Source organism: Homo sapiens, chromosome 5 (assembly GCF_000001405.40).
Source record: "Homo sapiens chromosome 5, GRCh38.p14 Primary Assembly".
NCBI classification, from domain to species: domain Eukaryota; kingdom Metazoa; phylum Chordata; class Mammalia; order Primates; family Hominidae; genus Homo; species Homo sapiens.
The window spans coordinates 95,050,544-95,078,163 of NC_000005.10; the positions used below are offsets into that span (position 1 = coordinate 95,050,544).

The 27,620-nt window shown below is 38.2% G+C and overlaps 1 protein-coding gene across 55 annotated transcripts in view, besides 1 other annotated feature; it reads right to left on the reverse strand.

Annotated features, from left to right (window-relative positions):
- The window catches only part of MCTP1 (multiple C2 and transmembrane domain containing 1), a 581,405-nt gene that overhangs the window by 346,854 nt on the left and 206,931 nt on the right, over window positions 1–27,620 (reverse strand). For 5 of the 55 annotated variants that reach the window (NM_001393541.1, XM_047417734.1, XM_047417727.1 and 2 more), the window contains exon 2: window positions 18,242–18,286. The exons of the other annotated variants lie outside the window; for them this stretch is intronic. In NM_001393541.1, coding sequence (NP_001380470.1) covers window positions 18,242–18,286 — 45 coding nt within the window. The remainder of the gene's footprint in view (window positions 1–18,241; window positions 18,287–27,620) is intronic. 55 annotated transcript variants of the gene reach the window in all.
- Window positions 19,666–19,715: an enhancer, noted in NCBI's record as "active region_22796". NCBI's record gives its function as "activates an Ori minimal core promoter by ATAC-STARR-seq in GM12878 lymphoblastoid cells {active_cell/tissue: GM12878}" and the evidence as "EXISTENCE:reporter gene assay evidence [ECO:0000049][PMID:35858748]".

Genomic DNA, 27,620 nt, shown 5'->3' on the forward strand with positions numbered 1-27,620 from the left:
GCAGCAGCCTGGGTGTATAATGCAATTTTAACCCAGGTATCATAGCTTCTCATTACTCTGGCCCAAGCCATGCTTCCTTTTGACAGCACAAAGAACCAGGATCTTCCCATAAAGTTGCCAAATTCATGCCTGCTAATATTTGACCTTCTGGCCTAAGACCTTGGCAGAGATGCTTTGCTATGAGTTAAATTATATCTCACAAAAAACCAGTGTGGAAGTTCTAATTCCTAGTACTGTAGCATGTGATGTTTTTGGAAACAGTGTTGTTGTATATGTAATTAGTTAAGATGAGGTCATCCTAGGGTAGGATGGGCCCCTAATTCAACATGACTAGTATCCTAATAAGAAGGGAAAACTTGGACATGAGGACAAACATACACACAGGGAGAGTACCACGTGTAGGTTGGAGTTACACTGCCACAAGCCAAGGGACTACCAGAAGCTAGGACAGAAGCCTGGGACAGATCCTTCCTTGGTGCCTTCAGAAGGAGCATAGCCCTGCAGACACTTTGAGCTGAGACTTCCAGCTTCCAAACTGTGAGCCAATAAATTTCTGCTGTTTAAACCACTCAGTTCATGGTATGCTGTTAGGGCAGCCCTAGAAAACTGATATATACAACAAGTCAGCATTGTCTTTATTCTTAAAAGTTATTTATTTTAACTTTTATTCTTGTTATAAGAACTGGGCTCTAGGCTAATTATTTTGGCCAAAGCCTGCCTTGTACCCCAGTCTTAGCCAATTCCATCCCAGGCCCGAAGCTCTGCACCTACTCAGTATTCCATATGCCCAAAGAATGAAGTCCCATAGAACCCCCAATCATTAAGACACTACAGACTAACTCATAAATCCAGATACCCAGAGTGGGTCCCTAGTGGTCACCCAGATCTGTGACAGTGATTCTGTCTACCTGCTGAGATGATCACCTACCAGGGGAACACTCTGCTGGCATTCCTTCAATTACCAAGACTTCCTCCTTAGGTTATAGGAAGTTTGACCTCTCCAAATTTCTGTTCTTTCCGTGAAGGGTCTCTGAGCTCTTGTTCTCTGCCATCTCTTATACTTGACCAAGTGTTTTGTACTTTTAAGTAGAAATATAATAAAATATATATTTGAGATATACTATGCCACTGCACATTATTTTAAAAGTACAAATTGAAAGAATGAGAAATGATGAGATCATGTCCTTTGCAGCAACATAGATGGAGCTGGAGGCCATTATTCTAAGCAAACTAATACAGGAACAAAAAAACAAACACAACATGTTCTCACTTATAAGTGGGAGCTAAACATTGAGTACACAGGACACAAAGAAGGCAACAACAGACACCAGGACCTACTTAAGGTGGAGGGTGGAGGAAGGAAAGGATGGAAAAACTACCCATCCAGTACTATGCTTATTACTGGGGTCACAAAATAATCTGTACACCAAACCCCCGTGACACACAATTCATCTATATGATAAACCTGCCCATGTACACCTGTACCTAAAAGTTAAAAAACAAAAAAAGAATACAAAATGAGCTGCAAGAGGGTATCCTAAAAGCAAAGCAATTGCTTGTAATATTAAGATAAGTTTTATCTGAAATTTTGGGCAAGTAGGTAGTTTATTTTCTAAGTCAGTCTTAGGAAGTTTTGAAATAGGATTCACCGCTTTCTGGGTAAGTCTTAATATAGAGTTAGATTAATTCTAAACAATTTAAACAGGTATTTCTCAAAATGTGGTCCACTAAACCGTCTTCATCAGCCTGTTACCATGGCAATGTCCTGGGATCCACTTTAGAGCTAGTGAATCATTCAGACTCTTGGGGGATAAGACCCAGGAATTTGCTCAAAAAGACTTTTATGCTTATTATACTGAGAGTTGATATAATTTAAAGTGTTTTGGTGGCAATTTAACTGGAATTCCTGTATTTTATCTGGCAATCTTTATTTCCTAGGGATGTAAGGCTAAAACTCCAAGTACTCTCCTGCCACTCCCTTTCTACATTTTTACAAGTTTGATTTGTGTTTTCCAGTTTCCCAATAGCTCCTATGTTAAAATTTACAGTTGCCATCCTATAGCCTTTCAAAGAGCCCCATGCCTCTGATTGCAGCAGGGGAGTGAGGGAGCCACAGACTGAAGGACTGTGGCCCTGGTTGGTAGGAGGTGGTATCCAGGGATAAAATTAGTAATAAACAAAGGAAGCTTTCAACTTGTTTGCTTAAGGGCTCCAGGTTAAACCTATGATCCTGGGCTATAATTTTAATGTGTGTTTTCTAAACGTTTAAATTTCATTAAGCTTGTTTTAAAAAATAAGACTGGGGTAGCCGTCCAGTTAAACCTGAATTTTAGTACTAGAAGAAAATCCTGGAGCTTTTCCTCAATTCTGGCCGTTCAACATTTAAATGAAAAGAAATTAATATCTCAACAGGGAAAAGCACTTTATACCCCTTTACCTTGGAAAGTTACTACAGCAAAGTAAAATGTGGCAAAGAAATACTCTCAATACTAAAATAAGTCTGTTTGTTATTCAAAAAGCAATTAATCTATTTTTGGCACAAAATGATACACTGGTAAATGTTCCATATTTTTACATGAAAATCAAGGAAATAAAACATACTTTGGAGAAGTACAGACGGAAGCTTGAAGTGACAATTATTTCCAGATATTACCAAAAGCATATGAAGCATGAGCTCTTTTCATGGGTTTTAAATAAGCATATCTCCACCCCCACTTAAATCAGAATGACAAGCTGCTCAGTCCTATAAAATCATGCACTCCAAAGTAGACATAACTCAAGGTATCATGGGGTTTATGAATGTGCTGTTCATATGTGAATATAAAACTATGGCTAAACACAGGCCATGAGCTTCGGGATTCTTTTTTGGATAGCGGGGAGGAGTGTGAGCACTGCCACCTACAGCCTCTAATTGCTGCTACTTCAAGCTTAATACGCACAGGAATCACCTGGAGATCCAGTTAAACTACAGATTGAGATTCCACGACTATTGAGAGACCACGATTGCAGGCTATTGACAGACCGCAATTTGAGAAGCAAAGCTCCAATCTATATTATTTGTGTTAGAAAGAAAATGAGGAAAGGAGAAACCGAAGGAAACTCAAAAAGAAGGAAAGCAATGTTTTCTTTTGTTTCCTTTCCTGACCTACCAGGTACCAAGCAGTAGGTGAGGGGCTCTGACTCAAAAATTACAACACAATCCTTTAAAAGTGACGTTGTGGCCAAATGCGACCTCCACAACTCAGAAGACAGTCAAGAATTCACAAAATGTTGGAAGCTGAAAAGCAGAACCTTGAAGGGAAGATAGAAGGAATGTATTATGTAATAAGATTGAATTTAAGGCTTAAAAGGCTATTAGGCAGTGGATACAAATCATGTGTCTTCTACATCCACGATTAAATGTCCCAAACTTGCCGTATCATAAGATTAACCTTGGGCTTTTGGTAAAAAAGTATCCAGGTTCCACACTGAGCTGCTCAGTGAACCCAGGTTATTCACACAATTCTTCTTATCTATGACTTCGGAAAATACTGGGTTTTTATTCTGTTTTGCTTTTAGGGATTTCAAATGTTTAAAGCTTGAAGTGATCTTATTCTGCTCCAATATGCCCAAGGAATACAACACAATAGAATAGAAGAGAACCGTGAGGGCCCACAGCCCGAGACCTGTCCAAGATTACCCGGTTACTGTAGTAGTGGAGCCAAGACTAGCTTCATTTCTCTAGAGGTCAAATGCAATACATCGTATCTATAAAACTAAATAGAATCATTTTGAAGCAGAGAACAGGAATCAGGAAGATTACCTTCTTCAAAAATTTTAAAGAGATAAACTATGATTCAATTTAGCAATCATTAGCTATTCTGTGCAAGGCATTGTATTAGGACCTGCAGAAGACATAAAAATGGACGAATTAAAAATCTCTCCAGTTCTGAGATGTCTGAGGACTGAGTATCACCCACTTGACAAATACAATCAAGATGCTAGAACCCACAGTGGTTCCCCTTCCACCCCTTACAGAATGATTCCTGGATCAGACTCATTTTTGATGTTCCATGCTTTACAGGAGCAGAGGTCCCCCCTACAACACACACCAGTCAGTAACTATAAACTGAATCCCCACCATGTGAAAAAGACCATAATGGGTATTAATGTGAAAAAATAAAGAGAAGTTATAGACCATCAGAAAGCTGGCCATCTACTTGGGCTTAACAGACAAAAAGGGAAAAATATGAATCCACAGTGTTTTTTGTTGTTATTGTTTGTTTGTTTGTTTTTTGAAACAGTCTTGCTCTGTTGCCCAGGCTGGAGTGCAGTGGTGCAATCTCAGGATCTCAGCTCACTGCAACCTCCGCCTCCCAAGATCAAGCGATTCTCCTGCCTCAGCCTCCCGAGTAGCTGGGACCACAGGTATACGCCACCACACCTGGCTAATTTTTGTATTTTTAGTAGAAAAATACATGGTTTCGCTATGTTGGCCACGCTGGTCTCAAACTCCTGGTCTCAAGTGATCACCTGCCTCAGCGGCTATAATACACAAGCTGGAGCTATAATATTTCTTTCTTTTGGTGTATCTTAATGGGTAGTTCACTACCAATAAAGTAATCATGGTTGCTCAGATGGGTTCTTTGCTATTGGTTTGGAAAATTAAGTTTTCCAATGGAGTGTTTCCTATTTTGTGGATCTTTTTAACTGTATTTACTGGATCCTCCCTTTTTGTAGTTCCTCTTCCGAGCTAATCAAGATTATTACCAATCCTTATTTTCTATAGAATATATACAGGCATTTATTTATTCTTTACACATTCAGCTACCTAAAACATTCTTGATGACTCCAAGAATATTGAAGATTGGGAAAAATATTTAATAGTATTACTAATAATTGACATCTGTTGAATACTTACTATGTGCCAGGCACTTTTCTAAGCATTTAAAAAATATTAACTGATTTAATCTTTATAAACAGCTCTAGAAAGAGACTGAGACAAGGAGAGGTTAAGCAACATGTCCAAGCCCACGTAATTAGTAAGTTTGTGCTTCAGCTCAGACAATCCAACTAAAAGTGCATTTCACAGCTAGTAGTAGTCTATTAAGCTTTTGCATGCTCCTAAGAAGTAATGTGGTGTGATAGAAAGGGCTGTCTTTGGAGTCTAATGGATGTAGATTCAGATCTTGCCTGTGTTGCATACTAGCTATATCCCCCTGGGTACAGGCTTAATATCATTAGGCCTCAGTTTCCTCACCTGTAAAGTAGGATCAATAATATCTACTGGGCAGGGTTTTGGAGATAATTAGAAGCAATGTGTGAAAAAAAATATTAAAACAATACCTGGCTTATAAGCAATGAATAAACATTAGTTAGCTACCATGATCGTCTATAATAAAAATCAATATTTTGACTTGACTTAAGGCTAGTATGCTATACATGTACTTTTAATGCAATATAAATTATGCAAGATAAAAATAAGAAACTTCTATGTATCTGTCCACACATGCACACTATGTAATTCAGAGTACATATTTGACACCAATCAAAATATAAAAGTATTATGCAACAAAAGAGTAGAAGCAAATTATACATGACTTGGAATACTTTATAAAATTGTGAATGTAATGAGTTCTTTGTTGGCTTGAATTTCCACACATTTAATATTCTAACTAGAGGAAATTATTAGCTCTTAATACATCCACTTGAAGAGTGCTTATACTTAAAATATCATTAATACATCTTTCACAATTCTCCCATTGTAGGCATATCTTGCTAACATGAAACTTTATATAGACAGGGTGGGTAGAAATATGCTTAAGAAACAGGTGCTGGGTAATCAGATCACGGTAGTTAAGCTTTTAGTGGTTTTGAAATTATATTTCACAGGTTGCTTATCTACCTAAGATTTACAAGTATATAATCTAGGTAAAATGTATGCTATCTGAATGACATTTTAAAACATAAAACAATGGATACAATGATATTCTGACTTAAATGAATTATCAAGGATTAATTCATACTATAGATGTAATTTTCACCTTATCTTAGTATTTAGGCTATTAACTTCTTAATAGTGAGTGGGATGTGCAGAAACTGATCTTTTGCTCTCTGAGTCTCTACTAAGTGTATTTCTGCATTGTTTGTGGAATAGCGGACTCACTGAGTATTCCAGTACCATTATTGTGGTCCATATTTTGTGTCCTGCTTTGACGGTAATAATTCCTATCTTAGTGATGTTACTCTCGTCAGTTCTCTGGGGGAAGTACCACTTTCTAAATTCCCCCATAGTCTTGCTCCTGGATTTTCCTGAAAAAGAATGAACTCCTTCATCCCAATACACACACACACACAAACACACGCAAATACATACGTATTTCTAAGAATTGATCTCTCAAATAGTGAGTATGAAAAGAAAGTTAGAGAAATATGTAGTATGATTTCATTTATATAAATAAAAATACACTATGTTTTGCTTATAGATATATACATATTCATATAAGATTAAAAGGGGATTGAAAAATACCAGCTTCACAGCCATAGAGTCTTTAATTTTATCTATATTCTATTTTCAGGGGAAAAATAAGACTAGAAGCAAATATCATAAAATAGTAACATTAATTATAGAGAATGGAAACAGAGGTGTATGTTAAACTTTATGTTTTCTGTACTTTAAAAAAATCATAAAAATATTAACATAACTACCATCCAAAGTAGCAAAATTATGTCACAGAAATGACTGGATGTAAAAACCTTTAAATGGGCAGTACAAGCCATTTTGAGAAAAAAAGTTCTTTTTATTTTGAAAATTCTTATTTTTCCTGCAGTGTAATGCAGTGGGAAAATGAATCATTTGGAATCATAAAGGCCAGTAAATATAATTTTTTGTTTTTATGAATTAGTATTAGATACACTTTACTTTCCATATTAGATATAATTTACTAAAAAATTTAACATCTGATTATAGTACACACAAGCCACTTAGCAAATAAGAAAGGCATTCAGCCGAAATTCATTCATCTCAAGATTATTTTAAAATACTTAAATAGTGACTAAGATTGCCTCTTAGAAGACAATAATTCTCTTTTATTCAGCAAATAGCTTCCAAACTTCCTGATAATTTGGGACAGGAATAGTCTCCCTTTATAAGCTCACCCCCAGCTTTACCTTGGTAAATACCTTTAGATGGCATTTCGTACCCAGATTTTTCCGAGAGCAGTCAATGCAGTGACAAATGCAGCTCTCTGAGCTCTGTTTCATGTATTTCCTCTTTTCAACCTCAGTGGATCACCAATGATCCGCAAAATGTCAAACCGGAAGAATGGGGGTTAATGGTGGACATGATGAGACCTAGATAAGCATCCTCTGAACAACATTTACTCTCCGTCTCCATTTCATAGAACTTATTCCAACAACTGAAGCCTTATTTATAATAAAAGACTAACTTTATTTCCATTAATTGGGCCTATTTTAATTAAATTACAACAACAACAACAACAAAAAACCTAACCAGGCTTCTCAAGATAATCAGTGCTCTGACTGAAATCCTTTTCAACTCAGGAATTTTTACAGCCTTATTGCTATTCATATTCTAATGGGATAAAATAGCTGATGCTTCGGCTCGTTGCTCTTAGTCTATTAACACCCTTCCCAATAATTCAAATACATAAATTATTTATGATTGATTCTTGGAACAAAGCTAGAATTTAATGTGATATTACAATGTTAAAGAAGAAATACTGCAGAAGAATACATTCCTGCTTTTGTGTAAACTGTTGCATAGATGTTTAAAACATAAAACATTTAAATGGATTCACATTATTGCACTTTTGCTAATCCCATGAGTCAAAACCAGAATTATGAGGAAGAATTCTAATATGCAGGAAAAAGAGTGAAGAAATAAGTGAATTCCAGTCCTGGGTCTGTACCACACACCTTACGACCTTTGGCAACTCAATCTTTCTGGACTCTTTCTTCAATGAAACAATGCTTCTAAGCCCTCCATTGCCTACTTTCCAGAACTGTTACGGGGTTCAAATGAAACGCTGTATGGGAAATCATTTTGGAAATTGTTAAGCCTTCTACAAACTTAAACTATACCACTTCAACATAGAATTAAATGAAAAAATAAATGGAAGAGGTATGGATAAAGGTGTCCATGGAGGGAAAATTGTGAGAATTTTCTCTTCCCTTCCTGTGCCTTTCATTATTGTAGATCTTCCTGCTACACAGGACAATTTTTTCCTTTTACCTCACTGAAGGGATAATTGCAAACAGGGTTTTCAGGGGACAAAAAGAGCGATGATATGCTCTAGGGTTTGACATTCTCTTTTTAAAGATCCACAATTCCTTGACTCCAGAGCTGGGTCTACTCAACAATGCCTCCAGCTCCCATCTCAGATCCTGTGTCCAGGACCACCCTTTTCACCCAGGCCCAGGGACTTAGAAGCTCTTGCCATTCTAGTGACAAGCATATACATGCAAGAATTGAGTTAAGACTATCCTCTTAACCACCATTCAACCCAGCAATCCCATTCCTGGGTATATTCCCCAAAAGAAAACAAATCTTTCTACTATAATGATATATGCACTTGTAGGTCCATCACAGTGCTATTCACAATAGCAAAGACACAGAATCAACCTAGGTGCCTATCAATGGTGGATTGGATAAGGAAAATGTGGCATATATATATATATATACACTATAAAACAGAAAGTAATCATGTCCTTTGCAGCAACATGGATGCAGCTGGTGGCCATTATCCTAAGTGAATTAATCCAGGAACAAAAAACCAAGTATTGCATGTTGTCACTTGTAAATTGGAGCTAAACTGTGGGTACTCAGTGACATAAAGATCGTAGCAGCAATAGAAACGGGACTACTAGAGTGGGGAGAGAGGAAGGAGAGCAAAGGTTGAAAAACTAACTATTGGATATTATGCTCACTACCTAGGTAATGGGATTATTTGTACTCAAATCTCAGCATTATGCAATATACCCAAGTAATAAACCTGCACATGCACCCCTGAATCTAACATGAAAGTTGAAAAAAAAATGAAGGAAAAACAGGTCAAATACAAAAAAAAGACTATCCTCTGAAATGTACGTAGAAATCTCAGTTGAGTCAGTTTCATACCCTTAGTTATATCTTAGAAACCTTATCTTCCCAAGATCAGAAATAAGAGGAGAAGAGTAGAGAGGAGAGGAGAAGAAAAAGAAAATGTGCAGGGTGGTGACAGTGGTCATGGGATGGGTGAGGGAAGGAGAAGCATAAGTAGGATACTTTCTATCTCTAGGCAGCTTTCTTTCATCACTGAGTAAAACCCCTCACACTTTCTCAAAAGGAACTATGTTTTCTAAGGCAAGGGAAAAGGGAACTTGAGATGCTGTTCTAGTCCATAAACCCAGGATGGAGAGAAACCCAATAAGAAGCAAGAAATTAAGGTAATGGAATGGGAAAGTAGGCAGCTCAGCCCCAAGGGTCTTTGGTGGGACAGAAAAGAGACATTCAAGGAGTCATTTTGGAAATAAGTGTTTTTCGAAGGTCACAGATCCCAAGCCTGGGGCTATTCTTTGCTTATACCTCACGTGCCCTCTAGCTCTCTGGTCTCTTTAGTATGATAGTCTCTAGAGCCATGAGCACACTCTTCTCATCTCTGAGATGAGATCTCTGCCTCTTTGGGACAGCTACTCCAGGTACCTGGAGCTAGAGGGGAACATAATCTGTGCTACAGGGGAAGTGAAGAAAGGAAGCACCTGGCTCTGTGTTAGCAGGGCTGTTCTGGCATTCTGGGTGACTAGCTTCTGTAGAGCTGTTAGAACCCGGCACACTTTTGAAAATCAGTGGGTTAAACAGGATATGGGCTTCCCTAGGAAGCTGGCCATCATTCATAAAATTATTCATGTTGGAAGATGCATCCCAACTTCTAGTAAACACCTTGCAGAGCATAATTTACTTCTAAACTTGAGAAGATGAAAAAAGTTTTTTTAAAAAAGGCCACTTTTGCAGATATACCAAAGAAAGGAGTAATATGAATCTTTTTCCTTTCTGTAATAACTAAAAAATTATCATCGTCTGTTGCTAGTTTATGAGTCTATCTAAATTGACTTTGTTCCACTCAGAATTTTAGATGACATATTAAAACAGAATTTAAAGAAGAATCTGGCCGGGCACGGTGGCTCACGCCTGTAATCCCAGCACTTTGGGAGGCTGAGGTGGGTGGATCACCTGAGGTTAGGAGTTTGAGAACAGCCTGGCCAATATGGCAAAACCCTGTCTCTACTAAAAATACAAAAATTAGCCAAGCGTGGTGGTGCACACCTGTAATCCCAGCTACTCAGGAGGCTGAGGCAGGAGAAAATCGCTTCAACCTGGAAGGCAGAGGTTGTAGTGGGCAGAGAGCATGCCACTCCACAAAAAAAAAAAAAAGAAAAGAAAAGAAAAGAAAATAATGAAGAATCTGTCCTCAAATGTACATTTTTTTTTTTTTTTTTTGCATTCTTAATTCCCAGCATGAAGCCATGAAGCCATTAGGCCTTTGTTGGTCCTTCTCAGCATCTGGCAATGCCCTGTGGTTGTGATGGGGACATGCTGGTCATGGGAGATGCATTGACATGAGTATAACCTATGACTCTATGACATCTTTCTTTTTCTCTTTTATGCCAAATACAGACAAAGAAAAGACTTAAGGAACCAAATAAACACACAGAGGGAATAACTACTAGCAAAAGAGATAAATAAGGGAAAAACATAATAATTGAAAAAGGAGTTATTAAAAATGGAGTAAGTTTCCAGAGTCATATTAGTAAAAAGATTGTCTTTATACATGTTTTTTTTTGTTTTCAATGTACTTTCATATCAATTTTCACAAACCCCTTAAGGGTTTTTTTTTTTTTTTTTTTTTTTTTTTTTTTTTTTTTTTTTTTTTGAGACGGAGTCTCGCTCTGTCTCCCAGGCTGGAGTGCAGTGGCGGGATCTCGGCTCACTGCAAGCTCCGCCTCCCGGGTTCACGCCATTCTCCTGCCTCAGCCTCCAAAGTAGCTGGGACTACAGGCGCCCGCCACTACGCCCGGCTAATTTTTTGTATTTTTAGTAGAGACGGGGTTTCACCGTGTTAGCCGGGATGGTCTCGATCTCCTGACCTCGTGATCCGCCCGCCTCGGCCTCCCAAAGTGCTGGGATTACAGGCGTGAGCCACCGCGCCCGGCCAAGGGTTGTTTTTAATAACTAATATTTATTATGTCTTTGTGGAAGGCACTGTGTTAAGTGCTTCACATTCACTGACTCATCTGAAACTCATGACAGCACCAGGATGCAGTTTTATGGTGATCACTGCTCAATACATAAGGACACTGAGTCACAGGCATATATGCCTCAGGTTAAAGAGCTACAAGTGAAGGGTTAGGGCCTGGGCTTTGATTACAGGCTGACTCTGGAGCCTGTGTACTTCTTCACTGTACTAACCCTGTTTTCTGAGGAAGAACTTGAGATTCAGAGAGGTAATGGTTCTTATCCAAGCTAGTAGTTAGCAACTTCAAACTTAAAAATGGAAAGCAAAGCAATTGGTAGAAATGAAATTTGAATTCAAGAATTATTTCCATTACTTTGATCAATGAATGGGATTTGGTCATAGTATTGATTCAACACTATTTAATTCTTTACAATAACTGAGTTTTTTTAGCCTCTGATGTCTTTATAGAATCAAAACTTTACTCAGGCAAGATTTAAGAGAATCTATGTGCATTCTTTATATTTTCTATTGAAAGATGTGTATTTTGGTAAAAAAGAATTAGATGCTGGGAAAACCCATCACATTTAATGCCTTGAAGTATTATGGCTTATTTCACCCCAAACTTTATTCTAACTCTCAACTCTTGGTGTCTGTATCTCTATTTTTTTTGGTTCAAGCAGCATGAAGTCCAGTTGAGGCTATAAGGAAAAGAGCTTTATAATTCCCTCCCTGCATTAAGCTTCAGCTTCCTTTATAGATGTGAAAATCAGACAGGCAGCACAATAAGATTAAGAGGATGGTATTTTGAACGCATTCCAGAGTCCCCTCAGCATGGGATTGGGGCAAAGGAACTGAACAGTCCCCACATATCCTTCTGGTATCTGCATTATTTAATTTCAGTGATTACAACCCTCCAAGCCAGAACAATCACCCACATTCAATAGGCACACAGAAATACATTCCAAGGTGTACTGCAAATGATGGCGATTATCCAGACAATGTTTTCTTATGATTGCTGGGTCCAGGAACTGATCTCTGTTTTATTGTTTTTTTGTTTTTTTTGTTGTTTTGTTTTTTTTGAAATAGGGTCTTGCTCTGTGGCTCAGGCTGGACTGCAGTGGCATGATCATAGCTCACTGCAGCTTCTACCTCCCTGGGCTCAAGAGATCCTCCTACCTCAGCCACCCAAGTAGCTGAGACTATAAGCATGTGCCACCTCGCCCAGCTAATTTTTTATTTTTTGTAGAGATAGGGTCTCCCTATGTTGCCCAGGCTGGTCTGGAACTCCTGTGTTCAAGCGATCCTCCCGCCTCGGCCTCCCAAAGTGCTGGGGATACAGATGTGAGCCACTGCTCTCAGGCAGAAACTGATCTTTTAAAATTAAACTTTCTCTGAATAATTTTTAAAACAAATTTCCCCAACACTGATAGAGAAATTAGCTCTCCTACAGATGAAAAAAGAAGGCATGTTTACATGGTGATCTTGTGGAATGTGACTGTGCCGGGGAAAGCCAAACCTTCCAACCTCAAACACCAGAACTCAGGGATCTTTTAATTTTAATTTCCATTTCTAGTTCCCCTTCATTGTACTATGTCTCTCTCCTGTGAAATGTTTCTATTACAGTAAACAAATCCATGGTGGTGACGTGACTATTTTCTTAAAGAACATGTAAGCTGCAGAATTCTCTCCTTCTTAGCCAAAGCCAAAATGTTACACGTTAACACAGAAGCTAATTCCAGGATTTGCCTTACTTTTTGAGATAGCTCACAAGGAAACATTTATTTAATCTGCATTTTTAAAAAGAAGATAGAAAAGGATTGTTTGATGCAGGATGTTCACTACAGCACACTCTTTATTCAGACAGGGTCTTATTCTATCATCTAGGCTGGAGGGCAGTGGTGCATTCTCGGCTCACTGCAGCTTTAACCTCCCTGGATGCGAGAGATCCTTCTGCCTCAGCCACCTCAGTAGCTGGGACTACAGGCATGCAGCACCACACCTGGCTAATTTTTGTATTTTTTTGTAGAGATGAGGTTTTGCCATGTTGCCTAGGCTGGTCATTTTTTATATTTTTTATTATAGAATATTTACCCCTAGAGTCCTCTAAAGTGTAATCCACAAAAGTTGTTACCTCAGCCCAATTATAACAAGTCAAATAACTCCACACCCATCCTATTCTCCTTATCTCCATCTTCCAGTGGGAGGCAGGGAGATAGAATTACAAGGAACACTGTGTGATGACAATGAAAGCTTACTGTGGGATCAAATTATGTAAACACCTGCTTTAGCACTAAATGCACGAATAGTTCATATCCAAACTATAATTCGTGTCTTAAAGTCTAGCTATTGGAAAATTATAGGCTCCCAAGAACTGTTTATACAAGTACATGCTTTAGGGTTGACAGACAATCCATTAGAAACGAATTGATAATCAAGCACAACTAATGGCAAAAGTTTATGTAAGAACAGCTGCAACTGACAACTACAATCTAAACCAAACTAAAAATTAAAATGGACACTAATGATACACCAATAACCACCCTCAATCCAGAAATCCGTGGAGACTCTTTCTCTGTGTGCTCATGTATACAGTAGGAGCTATGCAGTGCTGCCAGTTGTGGTGTGACAGCTGGACTTCTTGGGAGTCTACTAATTTTGCATACTCACAATCTGGTGACATGGTAACTTTATTTACAAATACCCAATTTTAGTAACCCTTAATAACTCACTTAGTAGGATACTATTAATAGTAAATATCCCATTTGTAGACATAAAAATGAAATGTCTATATAGTTACAAGTTATTTGGCTCTAAGGACAACAATAATCTAATAGTATTTTGGATGAGTTCTCAGTCCATGAGGATATTTGAGGTCCACCAGAGGTGCAGTGGACTCTACTCAGAGAAATTCTGGGGTACACTCACTGATAAAGGCCCATAGGTGTACCAGTATAACATGTAAGAATGGGATATGGATGATCCATAGAAGTTCCCTTTGATGTAGAATTGACCATTAACCAAACCAACAGACCACTTGGAAGAAAATGATATTTTACAGAGTTAATAAAGTATTCAATAATTTTCCAAACTGATTTAGATGTTGATGAAGCTGCATATAACCACTTCAAAAATGATTTGGCAGGTGCCATTTAAATAGCTGACCTATGAAGAGTTCTATTTTTTCCACCCTGATCCAACTGATCTTGTGTAACAACCCTGGACATTATATCATGTTTCTGCTAAAAATTCAATGCTTCTGCATTTTGTACAAAAAAAGATAAATTTTGCCAATTCATTTAAAATTTATATAACTGAACATACATCTGAAAATAATAACTATTAAAACTATTTCAAGAATAATTAGAAAACTTGAACACTACTAAAATTATTATTAATTAATTAATTATTAAGAACTGTTATCAGTAGTTAAAATCTTCCTACACCTAAGAAATCATTTCAAAATTATACAAATTATTATGTAGCATAAAAATTTATCATTAATTCTTTAAGGCCAATAATTGAATATCAAAATTTGACATGAAGATTGCAAGAAAAGAAAAAAAAACTGGCAAATCTCAATCACAAATATATATGTAAATATTCCAAACAAAATGTTAGCAAACTAAATCCAGAAACATATATAAATGATAAAACAGTATGACCAATATGGGTTTATTCCATGTATTAAAATATGGGTTACCGTTAGAAAATCAATTAATGTAACTCATCAATTAGTAGATTAAAGGCAAAATTTATATGATTATCTGAAAAGATATAGGGAAAACATTTGATAGAATTCAATACTCATTAATTTTAAGAAAATCTAGCAAGGCAGGGATAGACGAGAACTCTCTTAATCCGATAAAAGCAATTAACAAATATTTGTATTTTATGGTAAAGCATTAAAAGCTTTTCCTTTGAGATTGAGAAAAGAACAGGATACCTACTATCATCACTTCAATTCAATATTTTTCTAGAGGTTTTAACCACAGTATGGATAAAATACAAAATACATGTTTCAATAAATGATGCTGGGAAATTGAGTATCCACACGCAGAAGAATGAAACTAGACCCCAATTTCTCAGCATATACAAAAATCAACTGAAAATGGATTAAAGTCTTAAATGTAAGACTGGAAATTCCAAACTACTAGAAGACAACATAAGAAAAATGCTTTTTTATATCGGTGTGGGCAAGTGTTTTTTGGATAAGACCTCAAAAGCACAAGCAACAAAAGCAAAAATAAAGAAATGGGATTACATCAAACTAAAAAGCTCTGCACAACAATGCAAACATCAACAGAGTGAACAATCTACTGAACGGGAGAAAATGTTTACAAAGTATATAACTAACAAGGGATTAATATCCAGAATGTAGAAGGAACTCAAACAGCTTAGTAACAAGAAACCAAATAATCAAACTTAAAAATGACAAAGACCTGAATAGATCTTCCTGAAAAGACATAGAAATGATCAACAAGTATATGAAAAAATGCTCAACACCACTAAACATCAAGGGAATGTGAATCAAAATTACAATAAGATCATCTCACTTCAGTTAGAATGGCTATTACCAAAAAGACAAGAGATAACTAGTGTTGGCAAGGATGTGAAGAAATGAGAACCCATACACACTGTTGATGGGAATGTAAATTAGCACAGCCATTAGAGAAAACAGTACAGAGGTTCCTCAAAAAATTAAAAACAGAACTATTATATGATCCAGCAATCTCACTACTGGGTATATATCCAAAGGAAATGAAATCAGTGTGTCAAAGGGATATCTGTTTATTGCAGTACTATTTACAATCGCCAAGACATGAAATCAACCTAAGTGTCCGTCAACAGATAAACTTATAAAGAAAATTTAATATATATACATACATAATGGAATACTTTTCAGTTATAAAAAAGAATGAAATCCTGTCATTTGTGACAAGATGGACAAACCTGGAGGGCATTATATTAAGTAAAATAAGTCAGACACAGAAAAACAAATATTGCATGATCTCACTTATGTGTGGAATCTAAAAAGTTGATCCCATAGAAAGTGCAGTGGGGACCGGGGGCGGAGCGGGGATGGTTTTGAAATGAAACTGTTCCACCTCAGATCATCAGGCATTAGATGCTCGTAAATAATGTGCGATCTAGATCCCTCACATGCGCAGTTCACAATAGGGTTCGCACTTCTATGAGAATCTACGGCCGCTGTTGATCTGACAGGAGGCGGAGCTTAGGGGTAATTCTCTCTCACTGACCATTCACCTCTTGCTGTGCTGCCCCGTTCCTGAGAGACCATGGACCGGTACCAATCCAAGGCCTGGGATGGGGGACTCTTGAAGTAGAGAGGAGAATAGTGGTTACCAGATGCTGGGGAGGGGTGGGAGTGGGGGGATCGGAAGAGGCTGGTTAATGGATACAAAGTTATACACAGCTGGAATAACTTCTGGAATTCTATTGCACAGCAGGGTGAGTATAATTAACAATAATGTATCATATATTTCAAAATATCGAAAGGAGGGGATTTTGAATGTTCTCACCACAAAGAAGTGACAAATATTTGGGGTTATGCATTAGCTAATTACCCTGATTTGATCATTACACAATGCATACATGTATTGAAACCTCACATTCTATCACGTAAATGTGTGTAATGATTATGTGTCAAAAATAAAATACAACATGAAAATAAATGATTTAGAAATGAAAAAATTGGCATTATTCATAGATTGTCTCTATAGAAAATCCAAAGGGATTTACAACTAATATATTAAAAGAATAAATAGAAAAATACAATTTCTAAACAGAAATAAACTAAGATACATTTACTATTAACCTACAAAATATACTTATATTTTTAAATATTTTAAATATATATTTTGTTAGGACATACTTCAATGTTTTTAAAATTAGTTTAATTGATGAATAATAATTGTATGTATTTATGGGATACACAGTGATGTTTTGATCTACATATACACTGTGGAAAGATTCAGTCAAACTAAGCTTTCCATCACCTCACTAACCTATCTTTTTTGTGGTGAGAATATTAAAAATTTATTCCTTTGACAATTTGGAAATATACAATACATTATTATTAATGTCACTATGCAGTGCAATAGATCACTACAACTTATTCCTCCTAACTGAAAATTTGTACTTTTCATCAACATCGACCCTTTCCCCATCCCTCTGGCACCCTCCTCTCAGTCTCTGGTAACCACTTTTCCACTCTCTGTCAAACAATCTATTTCTTAAACTAAATTTGAAATATAAATCATTAAATTAACTTGATCTTTCAACAAGGTCGTTCTTTTTTGATAAAGAAAGAGAGGCAATTATTCTATTCTATTAAATTTATCATTATCCTATTTAAATCAAGTTAAAATTAATACTTTATTCAGCAAGAATAGAAAATGAACCAAGACACATTTGACTCCAAATTTCTCAAGGGCAAGATAATGTCTTGGGTAGGGTTTTCTCTAAGAAATATCCAATGAGAGAAAATAGATTTGATTCACAGAGGAGAAAGAGAGAGACAGAGAGAAGAGAGGAGACAGAGAAAGAGAGTCAGAGTTGGTGGGGTATGAAGATATGTTAATAGAAGGGTAAAATACTTAATTCCAACAGACAGTAAACATAGGAATCTGATCACAATTATTTTTAAAAAGGAAATGAAAACAAAACAAAACCAAAACCCAGGGACAGTCTAGTCTAATACGTCAACTTCCTCAGAGGCAGATGACAGATGTGAAGATACCTTGCAGCTTTATGGGTTAATTTTCTATAGTGTCTAACACTCTGGGACACTTGGGGAACAGTAAATGTTTTAAGCTGTCAAGGACCTGATTGGCCGGGATCTGTTTTCTACTTAGTTCACTTCCATTTCCTTTGCTGTTCCCAGTAGCTTTCTCCATGTCGGTTTGCATTACTATGGTTTTCACAATTCGGTCAAAAAATAAAGCTTTTATGCCTAATTAAACACCGAGCTAACACACTTTGTCAGTCATTTCCACTTTGAAACTTACGTTTACTGCATTTAGTCTGTCCTTTCCAATCTTACCATACAGGGTCTGCCAAAGAAATTATAAAAATTTTACGTAATATTGTACCTAGGGACATTATTTAATATCAATAGTAGTTTTTTATAGCTAAAAGCGAATTAGGCTTAGTTCCAGGGGAAGATTGTGAGCAGGTATCTTTTTTTTTTTTTTTTTCCTTTCCTGAGAGAAGCTGTGAAACAACAGAACAGCCTGTGCTACATACGTAATTAAAACAGATGTTCTCAATCTTAATTTTTATAGCTAATTATGACAGCCAAAGAAATGTGCTTGTCTTTTGTAGAGCCACATATTTTCTCTCAAATGTGCCCTATTTTTCTCCTCACCCACTATGACTGCTCAGAAACAAAGGGTGGGGTGATGGTGAGTTACAATGCAGCTGCAAGGACTGTCAAATTATTGGTAAGTCAGGGAGTGGAAACAGTGATGAGTGAAATTGACCATAAACTATCTACATAGCATAAACATTTGTACGTACTCCTAACTTTGCAGATGACAGTTTTCATTGGGGTCTTTCATGACAGAAGCCAAGTTTATTGTATCAAACATAATAAAGTAATTCAAACATAATAAAGTAACTGCTTACAAGCACCTTTCCTTTGTCAACCCAGCCTTTGGGAGCATAGCATTTTTTTTTTTTTTCAGAATAACATACAGTGTACAGAAATATGCTACATTTTGATGACACAGGCCAGGTGACTTACCCGCAAGGGTGCAGAATCTGATATGCTTGTCTATGTATGTGTGTGAAAATAGAAAGCATACAAGTATAACGAAGGCACCCGTTCTCAGAGCACACTCTTCTTTGAGCTCCTTGTCCTTAGGCTCACAGGGATGTCAAGTTGGGGTGCTTCAGACACAAAAACAAATGACCCTTCTGCCCTTTTTTTTTTTTTTTTGAGACAAAGTCTTGCTTTGTCGCCCAGGCTGGAGTGCAGTGGTGCAATCTCTGCTCACTGCAAGCTCTGCCTCCCGGGTTCAAGCTATTCTCCTGCCTCAGCCTCCTGAGTAGCTGGGACTACAGGCACCCACTACCACGCCCGGCTATTTTTTTTATTTTTATTTTTAGTAGAGATGGGGTTTCACCGTGTTAGCCAGGATGGTCTTGATCTCCTGACCTTGTGATCCACCCACCTCAGCCTCCCAAAGTGCTGGGATTACAAGCGAGAGCCATCGTGCCCGGCCGACCCTCCCTTTCTGTAAGTGCTGCCAGCAGCTTGGAAATTACAAACTTTAGAAACCACAATAGGGGAAGAACTATCTTCCTGTTTGTGGTGGAGTCTGGAATTTTCCCGCCCTTGTCAAGGCACTCTGTTGTGTTGTTATCTAGGTTCTCTCCTTACCCATCTATCAGCACCAGGTCCATGGAAGGCCTACTAGGCCAAAGTCCCAGGCCACATCTGCAGTCAGGCTACCCTGAGCCCAGCTTGCCTCTCACCCTCTGAGGAAGGAGCAGGAGCTGCAGTGTTGCTGCTGGCAGTGTCCCTGCTTTCTGCAGCCTCAGCACTGCTGAGTGCAACACCTTGCACTTGAGTGCAACACCTGCTCCAGCCTCCTCTAGTTCTCTTCTTGTCAACGGGGTTCCAATTCTGCAGTACAGATTGGGGGATACCTTTAGGGACCTCCAAACCTCTCAGCTTCCACAGCCACTCTGATTCCTTCATAATTGCTCTCAACACTCTGAGAACTGTTTCAAACCCAGTCCATTAAAAACCATTCTGTATGCTGGCCCAGTTCCTCTCAGCAAAGCCCAGTGTGGTCTGATCCAAATCCAAGCACTACTCCTGTCTGCTCTGCCTTGGGAAGTTGCCCTGTACTGCCTTGGCCCAGAGAGCAACACTCAGGAACTCAGCAACTACCTACCAGACTTTGGCCATGTGTGAGACTGGGGCAGACTGTCTAGAGAGAGGAGTACAAAGGCAGTCCCAGCTGCGGCTTGGTGAATTCATCCCGCAGTAGTTCCATAGCCTAAGAGGGATTGCAGAGGTAGGAACAACAAAGTTTAAGAAGCAGATAAAGCTCATTCTGATCTTAACTAGGGACTATGTGGGAGGGGCTGACTTGGTTAAGGTGGTTGGGAGAGTTGGGAGAAGAGTCTGGCATCTCTCAGTGGGGAGGTGGCAATGTATTGGTTCAAGGGAAGTTCCGTGGGATTAGGGTACCATGGGATGAACCTGTTCCCAAGATGAGGAGGCAGGAAATCAGAGCCAAGCCAAATGGACTGGAACAAAGGGGAAGCGAGAGGAAGGGTGTTCATCCCTGGAGAGAAATGTTGAACAAAGCACATCTGAGCAGCAATTCACATACAGAGCATACTTGTGAAGGCTAACTGTGAAGGCTAACCAGGAAGGCTGTAGCCACAGGGATCCTCAGCTAACCTGGGCATACCTATGACACCAGATCCGGAGCCTGAGGCAGCACGTGCAGCCCAAGAGCGTCTGTCTGAGGTACCCGCTGGCTTCGTAGTCACTGATTAGGAGACAGGCTGGATCAGAATCTTCTGGAGAATTTTGGTGCTGCCAGATGCTGTGCTGGGTACTTTACATACATTTTCTCTAATCCTCACAAACTTTCAAACAGCGGGGAAACAAAAAGTAACTCTACATATCCTTGGTCTCAGCTTAAAAGTCACTTTCTCACAGAGGACTTCTCTGAGCCTATAAATATAAGTTAACTTCCCCTTTTATTCTCTATATAATATTCTACTTTTACTGATGTCCCTCAGTATAGCTTATAATTTGATATGAGTGATATTCATGATGATTTGTTAACAAACATTGTGTCCATTTCTCCTCCATAGTTTCTGGGGGCACAAGCTCTTAAAAATATTTCTGTATCCCTGAATGCAAGTGGGGAAATGCAGTGAAATAACCAGTGTATTGCATGTAAACATAGAGATGTTGTAGATTGAAAGTTTCACTCTGTGAAACTGTGGCCACTGCACAGACTAATGTATCTAAGAACCAGAATGGCACTCATACTCACATGAATGAGATTGTCTTAAATACAACTTACCACTGACTAGATTTTTGTTAAAATCTGGCAATCATATGCTAGAGGTGAGTGATATATTTTACTTCTCTGCTAGGCTTCCAAGTAAACAACAGGTAGAAATATATACATGTAAAAGTCCATCTAGAGGAATTTTAATAGATCCATGAGAAAAATAAATTTTCCTTTAGAGTAAACAAGTTTAGCTGTGATGTACAGGTTTCTTAACTATTAGATTTCTCAGATTCTAATATGAAACAATGCCAATTTTCCTGTGTGTGTGTGTGTGTGTGTGTGTGTGTGTGATTGGAGGTTTGTTGGCAAATTGATGCTAAAGCATATTTGGCTTTGGTTCTGGAAGAACCAATGTACCCCACCTCCTATCCAGAGAGTTTGACAAGCTGCTCCTGTATTCCAGTAAAATCAGGATCAAGAAGCATTCTGTTGGTTCTGGAGTACAGTAAGTCCTACCCTCTTAACCCTAATTGGATAAACACTAAACAAAACAAATTACATAAGGCTGGGGGAATATAAACAAGAGCAAACAAGAGCTTGTAAAGACTCCAATAAATCACTCTACTTGTAACATTCACCCTACATAGTACAAGCTTTTTCAATTTTTGCCAAAGACTGTCTCACATGAATTGATGGCTCTACAGACATTACACTAGTGTTGGCTTGAATTATGATCATGTGAAAAAGGCTTGTGCATTGATCATGTGAAAATATTGCAGCACAAAGGGGCCAATATTATACTCTGCATCTAGACCTATGGTTACTAGCTCCAAAGAAGATGTTTTCATTCTCATGTTAGGAGGAGGAAACTAAAGCCCATAGATGTCAAATAATATTCTCAAAGTCACAATATATGTTTGGAGCTAGATTCAACCTCAACTGTTCTAGCTCCAAATTTGGACTCTGCTTAGCAACTATTTTTTTTTTTTTTTTTTTTTTTGAGATGGAGTCTCGCTCTGTCGCCCAGGCTGGAGTGCAATGGCGAGATCTCGGCTCACTGCAAGCTCTGCCTCCCGGGTTCACGCCTTTCTCCTGCCTCAGCCTCCCGATTAGCTGGGACTACAGGTGCCGGCCACCATACCTGGCTAATTTTTTGTATTTTTAGTAGAGATGAGGTTTCACCGTGTTAGCCAGGATGGTCTCGATCTCCTGACCTCGTGATCCGTTCGCCTTGGCCTCCCAAAGTGCGCTTAGCAACTATTTTCACTGGAGATATGGAGGACCTCTTTCTCAAGCCCTGTGCCACATGGTCCACTTTGCTCCTTGTTACAGCTCATCACACTAGCCCATGGTCACAATGAAGCTTGCAAGGCCTTCTTTCAGCAGCCCAGCTATCCTGAACAGCTGATTGTTCTCTTTTTTAGGGAGTTAGTCTTAATTTTTTGTCAGTCTTGGGCATAGGAGAGACGGCGTCCACATTGTGGCACTTGCCAAAGCTATCCTTTGGTTAGCAGAATCTCAGCTTCCTCACCTCATTAGATTTCTCTCATCCAGACTCATGGCTCAACTTCTCTTTGCTGCTGAGGCTTGGCTAGGATCCTTTGGCTTAAGACTAAGGGTACCCATTCATTGCTGCATTTTGTGACTGCTCTCCCTCGACACTGTCCCCCACCATCTCCTCAACCTTACTGAGTATGGAGTGGGGAAGTAACTGACTGCACCCTGACTAGACTCCCAGCATAGGGTGTTCTGTGAGTTCACCTACAAAGATCTGTTGTTCACCTATATCTTTCCAAGTGGTTATGCCCATACTCAAAAGGTTTCCCCAAGATATGGAAGAAGATGACAGTGCTAGGAGGTGGGAGCACACTGGATATGCTACAAAAAGGTAAAGTTGAGAGGGAAGGGCAGGAATATGGAACACACAGGAGCTCAGGTGCCTCCCTTCAGTGTTTCCTGGTTGATACCCTGGTTGTTGGCATCATCAGACCCTCTCCTTGAAGCATTCTTGGTGCCCCAGGTTTTCTTAACTTGGAGTGTGTGTTAGAATTACCTGGGCTTTTCTTAAAATTTATACTCTTGCTCATGCCTGTAATCCCAGCACTTTGGGAGGCCGAGGCGGGTGAATCACGAGGTCAGGAGTTCAAGACCAGGCTGGCCAACATAGTGAAACCCCGTCTCTACTGAAAATACAAAAAAAAATTTGGCCGGGCGTGGTGGCGGGTGCCTATAATCCCAGCTACTCAGGAGGCTGAGGCAGAAGAATCGCTTGAACCTGGGAGGTGGAGGTTGCAGTGAGCAGAGATGGTGCCACTGCACTCCAGCCTGGGCGACAGAGTGAGACTCCGTCTCAAGAAAAAAAAGAAAAAAAATTACACTCTTGGGCTCTACCCATGACCTAATGATTCAGAATCTCTCAGGCGTAGGCCTGGGTACATGTAGTTTGAGCAAGATTCCCTGGTGAATCTGCTATACCATGCAGTTGAAGAGTCACTATCCCGTAAGGTGAAGGCCAAGCCCCTTAGCACCATCCACTTGAAGGTGTAGAGGACTGAGCACTTTGAAGTGCTGTTGCTTGGGTGTGGCCACCCAACTTCTGGAGGGGCCACTAAGAGAGATGGCTGGCAACTCCTAGGGCATTACTACTTTGATGACAAAGGTATAATTAATAGTTATAGAGTATTGTTTAGTAATCAATTGTCATTTGTTTTGCTAAATGATTTGGATAGGTGTATACATTTTTGCTAATACAATAATTTGTATTTATGAAGTTTGAACACGCATTTATTTTTAGGATCTGGAAAGTTGGAGCGGGTGAAGTATAACCAATCTTAGGTGTGCACAAGTGGTTAAATGTGGACCTATCTGTGTGATTACAAGTATATGTGCAGTGCCAAGTGAATAAAAATGAAGGCAGACTTTCAGGTATGCGGAAAAGCTTCTAGGTAGAATCTATGGTTCTACGTAGGGCGTAAAATATGTCCTTCCAAAAAATATGGCTCAAAAAAATGTTTCGTGGCCACAAGGAAATTAGGTCAAGCTTAAATTGATTTATGCTGTGCACAATTAACATTTTAATAAGCAGGAAAATTGAATGCAGAATTTAAATACTAAATTCAGATAGGGATGATCCTGTTGACTGATGTTGTAAAAAGATTGCAGAGGTACATGACAGCAACCCCATGCCCAGCTTGGCTCTGTCGGGAGCTGGCTGTATAATTTTGGAAAAGTCATTTAATTTGCCTGTGGCAGAATATTTTTTATTTGCAAAATGAGAGGGTTGAGCTAGTTGATCTCTAAGGCACCTTGTACTATCAACATTTTGTAAATATGAATTATACACTATTCAGGTAAAGAAAGAGATCATGGACATTTTACAGCTGGTACAACACTTTGAACTGCTTTGACTCATTGAACTGAACTTTTAAAATCAAATGGGTACTTTACATACATTTTCTCTAATCCTCACAAACTTTCAAACAGCAGGGAAACCAAAAGTAACTCTACATATCCTTGGTCTCAGCTTAAAAGTCACTTTCTCACAGAGGACTTCTCTGAGCCTATAAATATAAGTTAACTTCCCCTTTTATTCTCTCTATAATGATGTTTGGTTTTTAGTTAACTTATCAAAGTGATGTTTGGTTTTTAGTTAACCTTCTCCTTAATTTTGGTTTATAAAACTTCAATTAAAATTGTAAAATGTAAAAATAATCTCTCACGAAAACTTGCAAAAATAATAGATACAATGAGGAAGAGGTCAGAATATAATGGGAAGAATATTTTAATGCAGCAAATATAGTTTTCAGTCCTTAATTTCTGAAAAAAAATTAATGTCTGATATATAAAAAAACACCTAGATGGAGACGCTGCTCTTTGTTTTAAAGCTCCTGCCATGTGGTCTAAAACTTGTGTATATTTTTACCTTATTTAGTTATATTTGATCAGATAATTTTACGTAAAAGTTTTATCTTTGTTTCTACCCCTTAGAAAACTTGAAACAATAACTTTCTTAACACTTTCTCTCAGAAGTGACTATTCCCATTATCAGTGGCTTCCTAGTGGTAATCTGGATACTTGTGGAATTGTTATATAGCTTTCAAAAACTCTTGAATATTCATATGCTGTGTTATTTTTCAATAATTTAAAACCAGTAATAAGGCTACAGAGACTTCCTCTGTCTGGTGTATTAATGATTCTTTGCAGCTATTTACACATTTAAAGTACAGTAGTCCCCTTGTCCTCAGGAAATATGTTAGAACACCCCCAGTGGACGCCTGAAACAGTGGATTGTACTGAACCCTATATATGCTATTTTTTTCTATACATATATACCTATGATAAAGTTTAACTTATCAATTAGGCACAGTAAGAGATAACAGTAACAATAATAAAATAGAAAATTATAATGATATATTATGATAAAAGTTATATGAATGTGGCCTCTCTCTCTGTCTCTCAAAATATCATACAGTACCATGGGTAACTGAAACCTTGAAAAGCAAAACTGTAGATAAAGGGGTAATGACTACTGTACACATTTGCCATGAACATTCATTTGTTTACATTAAGCATAGCATTTTTCAAACTCCAGGTATGAGCTTAGTGAAAATTTTCCAGGTGGATTAAACTTAGAAGTAATTGTTTCAGAATTGATTTCAAGATTCACAGGAACCATTAAGCTGAAAAAGGAAAAAAAAAAAAAAAAAGGAATCCCTATCTTAAAATAGTTCAAAGACTGCTGGGAAATATGAGAACGAGTCCTTCATTGACGAATGTTGAAACTGAGTCTCAGACTGCAGTTACATGGAGTTAAGGTTTCCAGTGGGCCAGGGTAATGCTGTCCACTGATTGCTGACTTAGAACACGCTATTTCTAAGCGAGGGAAATCACCACCAGAAAACAGTGAGCCACAGAAATCAAATGTATTTCAAATAACACAACGCATCTGTACATAAAGGAATAGAATGTCCTCAAACCGTGAAAATATGCTATTTTGTTTAGGGGTGGGGGAAAAATCTATACGATAATTGGTTTTTTTCTTTTTTCTTTTTGTTTTTAATGACTCCTTTGGGTCAAAGCCAAATGTGTAATTACCCCAGTACAGTTGTTTCCATTGTTTAAAACTTTTCACCCTATTTAGTTGTGCTTGATCAAGTATTTTTACAGGAAAATATTTTCTGTATTCCCTCCCCGCCTTGTAAACTTGAAACAATAACATCTTAATACCATCTCTGAAACTTGCAGAATTTCCTAACTCAAGCCTTTAGTCACCTTCCTTATTTTGGAAATGATCACTCACAATTGACTAATTGTGCCAAATAAATTTTGATTCCCAGACTCTTAGTTTGAGTTCTCTAATGAAATATTGTGGGGAAGAAAGCTCCCATTCCAAAATGAAAAGAGATGCTATATACTTTTGTAAACAAGCATTTAAAAATGATCTTAAGAGTACCTTTCTTTTTTGATATTCTGCCATGACTGTTTCTTCTGCATCTTGGTTATTTTCTTCATAATAAATTATAAAATAGTCAAAGTTTAACAATTCTCATTAATTTAGGTGTTCAAATTTATTTTGACCTTTTAATTTTATCCCACCTCTATCTGTCTCTTTTTTTCTCTGCATATGAATAATGTGTGTAAATATATATGTATATATCTGCACACATTTAGCTTTTGAATCAAGGAAGTAAGCAATTATGGTTCATTATATATACTTTTTTTTTTTTTGAGACGGAGTCCCACTCTGTCGCCCAGGCTGGAGTGCAGTGGCGCAATCTCGGCTCACTGCAAGCTCCACTTCCTGGGTTCACGCCATTCTCCTGCCTCAGCCTGCCGAGTAGCTGGGACTACAGGCGCTCGCCACCACGCCCAGCTAATTGTTTGTATTTTTAGTAGAGACAGGTTTTCACTGTGTTAGCCAAGATGGTCTCGATCTCCTGACCTCGTGATCCGCCCACCTCGGCCTCCCAAAGTGCTGGGATTACAGGCGTGAGCCACTGCGCCTGGCCAGTTCGTTATATATAATTTTAAAAACTAACATGAAATAGGAGGAAAGGCTTGTGGCAAGAAATGGCTTATAGCTATGTTCATTCCACATTGAAAACTATCAGACAAGAAAATATGAGATGAATTTAGGAAAACTCTTTCACATCTCATACATCATTCCTCTGGGCCCACATTCTCTAGTCTGGTCCCAATCCAGTGTCAGGTACATGAGTCATGACTCAACAGATATGGGAACACCTTCATTTATCCCTATCATCCATCTATCCATCCATCCATCCATCCATCCATCCATCCATCTTGTTTGCAAGACCCGAGGAAACATGAAGGTTTGAAAGTTACCCAAGAATTTCAAAGATAATTTGTGGAGTCTCTGGGGAAAGCAAATCAAAATGGA